This window comes from Homo sapiens, chromosome 2, assembly GCF_000001405.40.
Source record: "Homo sapiens chromosome 2, GRCh38.p14 Primary Assembly".
NCBI lineage: Eukaryota > Metazoa > Chordata > Mammalia > Primates > Hominidae > Homo > Homo sapiens.
The window spans coordinates 183,066,534-183,078,163 of record NC_000002.12 but is presented as its reverse complement, the minus strand read 5'-3'; the positions used below and the strand labels follow the sequence as shown (position 1 = coordinate 183,078,163).

Sequence of the window (11,630 nt, the reverse complement as noted above, 5' to 3'; positions counted from 1 at the left end):
ATTTATTTATTTTCTGACTTTCAGCCTACATTTTCATTTCATACAGTAAATATACATCCTAAATAAGAATTGCAGCAAGTCCATCCATACGAAGAATTAAGAAAATCAATTGTGTAAGCATCCAAATTTGTAAAACAGATAAATAAATTATAGAACGATGATTCTGATTACCAAAAAAAAGTTTTGCAAAAGAAATCACAAGATTCCTTTAAAGAGAAATTTTTCAAACCCCTATTAAAGTAAATGTAATTTTAAATGAATTTCAACACAATGTATAAACACATATATAAAATGAAGAAGTTGCACTTATGAAAACTTTTCTTCCAATACCACATATTAAAATTTGTGTTGTTGTTGAAACTTTCTGACATAAAAAAATTCAACTGTTATGGATTGACTATTTCTGTCCCTTCAAAATGCATATGTTAAAGCTTTAAACCTCAAGGTGATGGTATTTAAATGGGACTTTTGGGATGTAATTTAGGATTAGACTAAGACCCTAGGGTAGGGTCCTCATGATGGGTTTAGTGGCTTCAGGAGAACTGAAAGAAATCTGCCTGCTCCCCTATATGGACCAAGGAAAGACAGTATGAGGACATAAGGAGAAGCTGGCTGTCTGCAAGCCAGGAAGAGAGCTTTCAGCAGGAACTGAATAGGCCAGCACCTTGATCTTGGACTTCTCAGCCTCCAGAACTGTAAGAAAATATATTTCGGTTGTTTAAGCAACAAAGTTTATGGCATTTTGTTAGAGCAGCCTGAGCAAACTGAGATATAAACCAAACTTCTCCCTCTTGAAAAAGGAATAGGCCCAGTACAGTGGCGCATGCCTGTAATTCCAGCACTTTGGGAGGCCAAAATGGGTGGATTGCTTGAGCCCAGGAGTTCGAGACCAGCCTGGGCAACATGATGAAACCCCAACTCCACTAAAAAATACAAAAAATTAGCCAGGTTTGGTGGCACGTGCCTGTAGTCTCAGCTACCTGGGAGGCTGAGGTGGGAGGATCACCTGAGCTAAGGAGGTTGAGGCTGCAGTGAGCCATGATCATGCCACTGTACTCCAGCCTGGGCAACAGAGTAAGACCTTGTCTCAAAAAAAAAAAAAAAAAAAAAAAAGAAAAGAAAAGAAAAAGAAAGAGAGAGAAAAATATATATATATATAAGCTCAGGCTATCTACAGGATGTCCTAAAATGAAAAACTGAAGAGATTATTTGCATCATTTAAACAACAATCACAGGCTCATCAAAAAACAACTCTAACCATAAATCAATCCATATATTTATCATAATAATGATCAAAAAAATAAGTACTATTAAGCATTCACTGCATGCTAGGCACTGCGCTTATAAACAATTTTAGATTCTTAGTATTATCCCTTAGCTGCTTAACAATGCTTTACACACATTATCATATTTGACCTCACCCCTATTTGTGATTAGAATCACAAATAAAACCTATGTTTGTTTCAGTCCAGTGCCTTATCTTTTATTTACTGTAGAATACGGCCCTGCTTCCAAAATAATTACAGTTAACGAATATTTACTGAGCATCAGCTATGTGCCTGGCACTGTTATAGTCATTGGAAATACAGCAGTGAATAAAAACAAAGTCCCTTCTTTCATGGATCTTATATCCAAGTGGAGAGAGCAAGAAACAAATATACATATAACCATGTTCGGTCATAATTTAAATGCTAAAAAAAGAAAAATCAAGCAAAATAAGGGAACAGAGTGAGAGGGCAGCGTGTTATTTGTTTTAGGGTGGTAAGAGAAAGCACTTCTGATACAGTGAAAATTGAACAGAGACTTGAATAAAGTGCAGAAGCCAGCCCTGTAGATATATGGGGGAATAGCTTAATAGCCAAGTGTCTAAATCTTCTGACAGATTTGGACTGTCTATGCCAAGTGCTGAAACAGGAGTGCACTAGTAGGAGATGGAGAGGTTCAAGAAACACCTGGGTAGCTAACTTGGCTTTAAGGGAGTGAATTAGGGGAAAGAGTTGGAGGAGATGTGGACAGAGAGAAATGATAATAACTTTGGCTTGTATTCTGAGTGATAGGAAGCCACAGGAGGGAACTAGGGAAAGGAGTCATATGATGGATCCTGTGTTGTGCTACCCAGATCCTTCTTCAATGAATACCTATTGTCTCCACTACCGGGTGTACTATTGGCTGACTGGTAACAATCCCTTCAGGGACTGCTGCAGCTGCAGAGGGCTGCTTTGCCGAGGTTGTGTCCCTTATGGAATAGACCACATCCATGGCTGATTGATGAGGGAGCATAAAGATCTGTATGTTAGCCCAATTTGAAACAACTCTGAGGAATCATTCTAGCTCTAAAAAGCTAACACGTGGTTGGCTAAGCCTGTCATTGGATCTGTATAACCACTTGACTTCTCTATCTGCCCAATTCTGCTTTCTTCTTCCCTTCCACAAGTGTTGATCCCAAGGGCACTCTTCGAAAAGTCTTGCATGCTAAACTCCACCTCAGTCAGCTTCCAGGAAACTTAATCTATGACAAGTGACATGACATTGCTTATGCCATAGAAGGGTCTTCCTGGCTGCTACAAGGAAAGGGAGCAGGATGGAAGCTCCCTTTCCTGCTTGTTGTTAGGAGACTACTACAGAGGTCCAGATGGAAGATGACAGTTGCTTGCGCTAGAACGGCAGCAGAGGGAAGGTAAAAAGTAGTTAGATTCTAGGGATACGTGAGAATCATGCCAAGAGAATCTGTTAGTAGATTGATGTGGGGTGATTCAGATAATTCCAAAGTTCTTAGCCTAAGCAACTGAAGAATAGATTTGCCAGTTACCAAGAAACAGGTGATGTGAATATGAGAAGAAGTTTGTGACTTGTTAAGTTTAATACTCCTATTAGTCAGCCAAATGGAGATGTCAATTAGTCAGCCAAATGGAGATATCAAGTGGGCAGCTATACATATGAATCTGGACTTCATAAGAGAGGTATCTGCTGGAAATGCAACTTCTGGAATAATCAGCTTAAAGATGCTATATAAAGCCATGGAGCTGAATGAGATGGCCTGGTAGTGAGGGTTGATAGAGAAGCCCCATGTATACCAAAGTGACTAAGAAGGAGAGGTCAGGGAGTTGAACGAAAATGAATGAGAGAGAGAGTTCTGAGAGTACAAGTAAAGAAAATGTATTAAAGTACACAATGTGATCAGCTGTGTCATATGCTGTTGATAGTGTTGAGTAAGATAAAGACTGTGCACTATAATGGATTTAAAGACTCCTTCAACAAGAACAGATCTATGTCCCAGGAATATACAAACAGTATCTGATTCAATCCACATGATAACCTAATAAAATAGGCATCCATTCTCTTTTTATAAAGAAGGACATTTAACTTGGAACCTAAGGACATAGCCTTTGGTCACACAGTCCAGATCTGTTAGGTAACAGATCTGAGTAACAAGGTTGAACACAGTTCTATCTTACTCATGAGCCCATATTCTTTACACTACATCATTCTGTAGAGGATGGGTAGAGTTGTTGGTTATACATTGATAGCTGCAGTCCCTGCTGGTAATACTAGAATATTAATGTCTGCAGTAACATTGATTGCTAATATCCTGACACCTAGATGCTATCCAACTCATATCAACATTTTGCAGAAGAACCAAGGTGCAGAAAAGTAAACTGATTTGCCCAAGTTCATATCCCTTGTAATCCCAGGTCCCTTGACTCAATATACAATGCTCGTTCCACTGCAATGTACGGCTTTCCAAAAAGTCCCTTAAGGGCAAAAATCCTTTACACAAAGCTAGCTTAGAGTGCTGGCAGGAGAGAAATGAGAGGCAAAATGTTATTAGACCCAGGCCAGAGGGAGAAGACAGCATTCCACCCCTGGGGAAGGCATTTCCCAGGCTGAGACATGAATGGTAATAGATTGTCCTGCAAGAAAGGGCACATCCTTACAAGGGCTTGGGGACTTGGATCTGAGGAAAAGGGGAAAGTGTGAAGTGAATACACCCTAGAATATGTTCCTGTGTTCTCCATATAATTCTTCTCTCCTAACAGATTTAGAGTGTCTATGTGAAGTGCTATGCTAGGCATTTTCTGAGCATTACCTCTAATCCTCATAAAAATCTCACTTTTAGATAAAGTGGCTAAATCGAAATGAAGTAGTAAGCAGTGGATCTTTTGTATTTAGTCTCAGGTCTGTTGAATTCTTTAATTTTTTAAGATTTTTTTGAGACTGAGTCTTGCTCTGTCGCCCAGGCTGTAGTGCAGTGGCTTGATCTCAGCTCACTGCAACTTCCACCTCCTGACTTCAAGCTATTCTCCTGCCTCAGCTTCCTGAGTAGGTGGAATTACAGGCAAGCGACACCATGCCTGGCTAATTTTTGTATTTTTTTTTTTTTTTTTTTAGTAGAGATGGGGTTTCTCCATGTTGGCCAGGCTGGTCTCGAACTCCTGACCTCAGGTGATTCGCCCGCCTTGGCCTCCCAAAGTGCTGTGATTACAGGCGTGAGACACCGTGCCCAGCCACTGGTCTGTTGAATTCTAAGATCCACTTTTATCCCACTACATTACATGCTCTGACATGTTACATAATAAAATCTGCCATGGGAATATGTAATCCTCATTAATTAAGATGTGACTTATATGGGTAAAAATCATTCATAAATAATCAAAGATCCTCCTCTTTGCATTACAATTTCTAGCCTGAGTTAATAATCTCAATTCTGCACTTCACTAAGAACATGCAGACACAGCCTGAAATGAATATAGAGAAAAACAAAATTCGGCCAAGCACAGTGGCTCACACCTGTAATCCCAGCACTTTGGGAGGCCGAGGTGGGCAGATCACTTGAGCTCAGGAGTTGGAGACCAGCCTGGGCAACATGGTGAAACCCAGTCTCCGCAAAAAAATACAAAAGAAGTAGTTGGGCATGGTGGCACGCACCTGTAGTACTAGCAATTTAGGGGGCTATGGTAGGAGGATTGCTGGAGCCCAGGAAGTCAAGGCTGCAGTGAGCCAAAATCGTACCACTGTTCTACAGCCTGGGTGACAAAGAGAGAGACCTTGTCTCAAAACAAAACAGAACAACCCATGAAATTCCTTTCATGATTATGGCAACTGCTTCCTGTGTGATCCTTTAGAAGACTTTTTAAAAATTTCAATTAAAACAAGTTTGAATGTAAATTTTCTTCATGAATACAATTCCTCATTTATAAATTTGTTACTGGAGTATTTTGATTACACAACATTTTTTGCTTATATATGTGTGGTTTTGTATAAATATAAATATATATATTTGAGATGGAGTCTTGCTCTGTCGCCCTGGCTGGAATGTAGTGGCGTGATCTTGGCTCACTGAAACCTCAACCTCCCAGGTTCAAGCGATTCTCCCACCTCAGCCTCCCAAGTAGCTGGTATTACAGGTGCCCACCACCATGCCTGGCTATTTTTTTTGTATTTTTAGTAGAGATGGGGTTTCACCATGTTGGTCAGGCTGGTCTCCAACTCTTGGCCTCAGGTGATCCACCTGCCTCAGCCTCCCAAAGTGCTGGGATTACAGGCGTGAGCCACCGAGTCTGGCCTTAGTTATTTGTATTATATTGATAATATAAGAAGTCGACCAAGAAGCAGCTTCTCCACTCCTTCTGGAAACTCCACCTGGTTCAACCTGCCTGCCTCCACTCCTGCCTCCACCATGTCCATCAGGACGACCCAGAAGTCCTACAGGGTGTCCACTTCTGGCCCCCGGGCCTTCAGCAGCCATTTCTACACAAGTGGGCCTGGTGCCTCCATCAGCTCCTCGAGCTTCTCCCAAGTGGGCAGCAGCAGCTTCCGGGGTGGCCTGGGAGGAGGCTACGGTGGGGCCAGTGGCATGGGAGGCATCACCACCGTCACTGTCAACCAGAGCCTGCTGAGCCCCCTTAACCTGGAGGTGGACCCACACATCCAGGCAGTGCACACTCAGAAGAAGGAGCAGATCAAGACCCTCAACACTAAGTTTGCCACCTTCATATACAAGGTACAGTTCCTGGAGCAGCAAAACAAGATGCTGGAGACCAAGTGGAGCCTCCTGCAGCAGCAGAAGACGGCTCGGAGCAACATGGACACATATTCCAGAGTTACATCAACAACCTTAGGCAGCAGCTGGAGACTCTGGGCCAGGAAAAGCTGAAGCTGGAGGCGGAGCTTGGCAACATGCAGGGGCTGGTGGAGGACTTCAAGAACAAGTATGAGGATGAGATCAATAAGCGTACAGAGATGGAGAATGAATTTGTCCTCATCAAGAAGGATGTGGATGAAGCTTACCTGAACAAGGTAGAGCTGGAGTCTCGCCTGGAAGGGCTGACTGACGAAATCAACTTCCTCAGGCAGCTGTATGAAGAGGATATCCCGGAGCTGCAGTCCCAGATCTCAGACACGTCTGTGGTGCTGCCCATGGACAACAGCCACTCCCTGGACATGGACAGCATCATCAATGAGGTCAAGCGCAGTACGAGATCACCAACCGCAGCCAGGTTGAGGCCCAGAGCATGTATCAGATCAAGTATGAGTAGCTGCAGACGCTGGCTGGGAAGCACGGAGATGACCTGCAGCATACAAAGACTGAGATCTCCGCGATGAATCGGAACATCAGCTGGCTCCAGGCAGAGATTGAGGGTCTCAAAGGCCAGAGGGCTTCCCTGGAGGCCGCCATCGCAGATGCGGAGCAGCGCGGGGAGTTGGCCGTTAAGGATGCCAGCGCCAAGCTGTCTGAGCTGGAGGCCGCCCTGCAGCAAACCAAGCAGGACGTGGTGCTGCAGCTGCATTAGTACCAGGAGCTGATGAACGACAAGCTGGCCCTGGACATTGAGATCGCCACCTACAGGCAGCTGCTGGAGGGCGAGGAGAGCTGGCTGGAGTCTGGGATGCAGAGCATGAGTATCCATACAAAGACCATCAGCAGCTATGCAGGTGGTCTGAGCTCGGCCTATGGGGGCCTCACAAGCCCCGGCCTCAGCTGTGGACTGGGCTCCAGCTTTGGCTCTGGCGCGGGCTCCAGTTCCTTCAGCTGCATCAGCTACACCAGGGCCGTGGTTGTGAAGAAGATTGAGACCCGTGATGGGACGCTGGTGTCAGAGTTCTCTGACGTCCTGCCCAAGTGAACAGCCACAGCAGCCCCTCCCAGCCTGCCCCTCCTGTGGCTGCACCAGAGCCCGTGAGGGGGGCGGCTGTGCAGAGTAGCACAGAGAACGGGAGACCCACCTGAGCCTCAGCCCTAGCCCTCAGCCCGTCCGCAGGGGAGTTTACTACCTGGGGAGCCCCCTTGCCCATCCATGCCTCCAGCTACAGAACAATTCAAATTGCTTTTATTTTTTTCCAAAATAAAACCTCAGCTAGCTCTGCCAAATACATATATATGTATATAGTCATACAAACAGAGATATAGAAACTTTCTTTTTTTTTTTTTTTTTTGAGACTGAGTCTCGCTGTGTCGCTCAGGCTGGAATGCAGTGGTGTGATCTCTGCTCACTGCAGCCTCTGCCTCCTGGGTTCAAGCGATTCTCCTGCCTCAGTCTCCTGAGTAGATGGGACTACAGGCACACACCACCATGCCTGGCTAATTTTTTGGATTTTTAGTAGAGACAGGGTTTCACCACGCTGACCAGGCTGGTCTTGAACTCCTTACCTTGTGATCCACCTGCCTCAGCCTCCCAAAGTGCTGGGATTACAGGCATGAGCTACCGCGCCCAGTCGAGATATACAAACTCTCTGCATTTCCTTTCAAATATCAATTCCTTGCATGTCTGTGCTAATATTTAAGAATCTCACATTTCCCAAAACAAGTGAGATATTTTCAAGCTCAGTGAAATAGAGCATGGGATGCACTCTATTTCTACTTTTTAAAAATTCCATATATCACAATAAATAGAATTCTAAATTTTTAAATCCAGAAATTTAGAATTTCTAAACCCAGAAATTTATAGTTCTATTCATTGTGATACATGGTATTTTTAAAAAGTAGTCTCCACATACTGTCACAGGATCCTTAGAGTGTCGCTCTTCCAGCTGTAAACCTCTGTGGTCGGTGATGCCTTTGCCCAGGATTTTCTCTGGCCTGCCGGACTCATTCTGCCCACTTGACCTGGCAGGCTGTGCTCAGCTCGTGCTACCAGACTGGATCCCATGCCTCGGAAGAGACTGGAGCCAGGCACAGAGCAGTGAGGGGTGCGTCAGTGAGCAAGTAGGGGGTCAGGCCACTGTGCACAGCCAGGCACATCGGCTGCTGCAGTGGGGTAGTCAGCTCCAGATGCCAGCACAGACTCTGGCTTCATGCAAGCCTGTGGCTGGATCAGATGCATCACAAGCGGTTTCCACTGTGGGCACCTGAGGACGAGGGGAATACGGTGGTGCCCAGAAGCTTGAAGATGCCAAAAATTACAGAGCCCCAAAGAGGGTGTCACAGCCCTGGCTTGGGGAGACCCTAGGTCTGAACACCCCAAATGGCGGCAAATCTTCTCCCCTTCTTGTCACCCACAACTTGGCAAGCAGGCAGTGGCGGGGGCGCGTAGTGTTTCAGCCCTGTTTGTGTTATAGCTCTTTCAGTCCCACCATTTGGTGGGTCCTGAGTTCTTGTCCTGTGTCCAGGAAGAATGAGGTACATGGACAATTGAAGGGTGAGCAAGGCAAAGAGGTGCTTTATTGAGCAACATTAAGCTCTCAGGAGACCTGAAGTGGGTAACTCCTTTCTGCAGGCAGGTTGTCCCATTGAATCTGCAGCCCTTAGCAGAGATGAGACCCAGAGTGGGTAGCTCCTACTCGCAGACAGGTCATCCTGTCTCTGAGAGTCTGGCTGAGTCCTGGGGTTTTTATGAGCTTCAGAAGGGAGGAAGTGCATGCTGATTGGTCCATGGGCAGCCATGGGTGGGACCAGAAAATGCACCATAAGTTCTCACTCCAGGCTGCAGACTCTACCTGGAACTGACAGCCCAGCCCTCATGCTTCAAGGGGCCCCTGGCTTGACGGTGGAGCTTCACCAGGGACCTGCCCCTTTCCACCCAGGAACCTGTCTGCCTTCTGCCATCAACATGCTATCCACAGTGCCCAGGCTGTTAGTGCCCAATGGTGCCTGCAGGCCCACGCCAAGCTTCCCTCAGCACCCCCAACCTCCTTCCCATGATTGTCAGTACCCAAAGTCCCAAGAGGGCTAAGGTGGCAGGGGGCTGGCATGTCAGCACTGGCCTGAGCACGTGCACACCTGGCTGGGTTGTGACAGCACCCAGGCTTGCACTAGAGTGGGCACCAGGAGCAGACAGAGGCCAGACAGTAGGAGGCCAGACAGCAGGCACTTCTGAGCTTGTAAGAACCCTTTCTGGGTTCAGAGCCACAGCTGTGCAGCTGCAGCTGTGCCTGGGAGTGCGGTGCTCCTGCCTTGCCAACTTAGTAGAGGGCAGGGCTCACACCTGTTCCTGGCTCATGCTGTCCTGCAGAACACACAACCCCGGCCACCACCCCCTATCCCTCCTGCAGCCAGCATCTTTACAGCTGCTGCTCCACATGGGCCATTGCTGCCATCAATATTTATCTAATTATTTTTCTACTTCACTTCAAAAAACAAATCATGTTAAAATTGAATTTTCAAATTAGGTATATGCTAGACATGCAGGTTATCTTTATTGCAGCCACTTATGCTTTAAAACCATAGAATCAACCAACAAACATTTCTGGAGCATCTGCAATGAGCTAAATACTCCATCAAAGACTATCAAGGTGCAAAAAAAAAAGGCATTTCATTGAATTTAAAATGCCATTGATTATGAGACACTACTATTTGATGTACCATGAAAAAAAAAATAAATAAACATTACGAATTGAACTGTATTAAAATGTTTAAGACATTATTGATTAAAAGATACACCCTCATTTTCAGGAAGTAATAATGTAAGAAATGTGCATTTTAGAATTGATACAATTCAACAATTAAAAATAGATTCTGACATTCAAGTGTTTACAATTCCATTTGGAAGAGGAAAAAAATCAACCCAGAAAAAAAAAAGTCACAGGTATTAGCAAAGTATAGAAGTTAAAAATAACACATACTTGTGGGGAAACATCTGAGCTTTAAGAAGGGTGCATGTTGGAAATAAAATTTACACAGCATGGTCGATCTAGATTATGTAAGCTTCAAAAACCAGATGGAGATTTTTGGGCTTATAGTGTTTTATAAACATTAAGAATAACATGATAAAAAATATTATACAAGCTGAAGAAAATAAGTTAGAGGACCAATCAGGAAAGTAAGATAGTAATGCAGGTACAAGGGATTTGACAACTTGAATCATGTTGAAGCCCATAAGAATGATGACCTATAAAGTACTTTTAAAAAACACAATTTTTGGCCAGGCACAGTGGCTCAAGCCTGTAATCCCAGCACTTTGGGAGGCCGAGGCGGGTGGATCACGAGGTCAGGAGATCAAGACCATCCTGGCTAACATGGTGAAACCCTGTCTCTACTAAAAATATAAAAAATTAGCCAGGCATGGTGGTGCGTGCCTGTAGTCCCAGCTACCTGGGTGGCTGAGGCAGGAGAATAGCGTGAACCCAGGAGGCAGAGCTTGCAGTGAGCCGAGATTGTGCCCCTGCACTCCAGCCTGGGCGACCGAGCAAGATTCCGTCTCAAAAAACAAACAAAAAAAAATACAATTTTAAAAATTTTTTGTAAAGACAAGATCTTACAGTGTTTCCCCTTGCTAGTCTCTAACTCCTAGCCTCAAGTGATCCTCCTGCCTCAGCCTCCCAAAATGCTGGGATTACAGGCCTGAGTCACCAGGCCCAAACAAAAGCCAATTTTTAATAAAATAAATGAGAACTTATTTTAAAAAATTTATTTGGGGATTAAAGAAAAAGGCTCATCAAAAATGACTTGACAATTTCTAGCTAGGGAAATCTGGACACTAGTGTTATAAGGACTATGAGCTGTGTTTCTCTAGGGTGCTGAGGAGCCCAACTTATCTATTTAGTGCTTGCCACATTGTAAGCCTTCAATAAATATTTCATGGATGGATGAATAAGTGAGTGATAAAGCCAGGATATCTGAGTTGAGTTGAGGTCATTCACATAAAGATGATGGTTGAATGAGAAGATATGAACTTCTCAAAGGAGCCAGTTTCCAGAAAGCCCAGGAAAGGACGATGGTTTAGGGAACAAAATTTGGAGTCTTGAAAACAAATGAAACATGAAAAAAAAACAGATAAAGAGAAGTTATAGAAACCAGTGAAAGCCTGGACCATGTATTCAAAGGTAAATAGAATTTCAAAAAAAAGAAAAAGTTATTCCATGTTGTAGAAAGTTACAGAGAAGTCAGAATACAGAGAATGAAGACAAGTTAAATTGACATGATACAATGAGATCAGCTGATCATTTTTCATAGAACAGCTTCAATAGGGTGGTAGAAGAGCTGCCAAATTAAAGAGCTTGAAAAGATACGATGGCATATAACTAGAGGCAGCTGGAGGTTGTGTCTGGAAACTGCTAGAGTGTCCATGACAGAAAATTCATTTCCAGAGTGTCATTTTCAGATAATGTTGACCTCCCTACCTTCTTCTAGAAATCTATCCTCCTTCTTTAAAATGCTATTTTTAATAATACTTATTTATATAAAACATATATGA

General features: G+C 44.1%; 1 pseudogene, besides 2 other annotated features; it reads left to right on the top strand.

Moving 5' to 3' along the window:
* Nucleotides 5,602-7,368, top strand: KRT8P10 (keratin 8 pseudogene 10; annotated as a pseudogene).
* Nucleotides 6,471-7,039: an enhancer, noted in NCBI's record as "NANOG-H3K4me1 hESC enhancer chr2:183935853-183936421 (GRCh37/hg19 assembly coordinates)". NCBI's record gives its function as "activates a minimal SCP1, AML or CMV promoter by ChIP-STARR-seq in naive H9 embryonic stem cells {active_cell/tissue: H9 hESC(naive)}" and the evidence as "EXISTENCE:reporter gene assay evidence [ECO:0000049][PMID:30033119]".
* Nucleotides 8,240-8,741: an enhancer, noted in NCBI's record as "H3K4me1 hESC enhancer chr2:183934151-183934652 (GRCh37/hg19 assembly coordinates)". NCBI's record gives its function as "activates a minimal SCP1, AML or CMV promoter by ChIP-STARR-seq in naive H9 embryonic stem cells {active_cell/tissue: H9 hESC(naive)}" and the evidence as "EXISTENCE:reporter gene assay evidence [ECO:0000049][PMID:30033119]".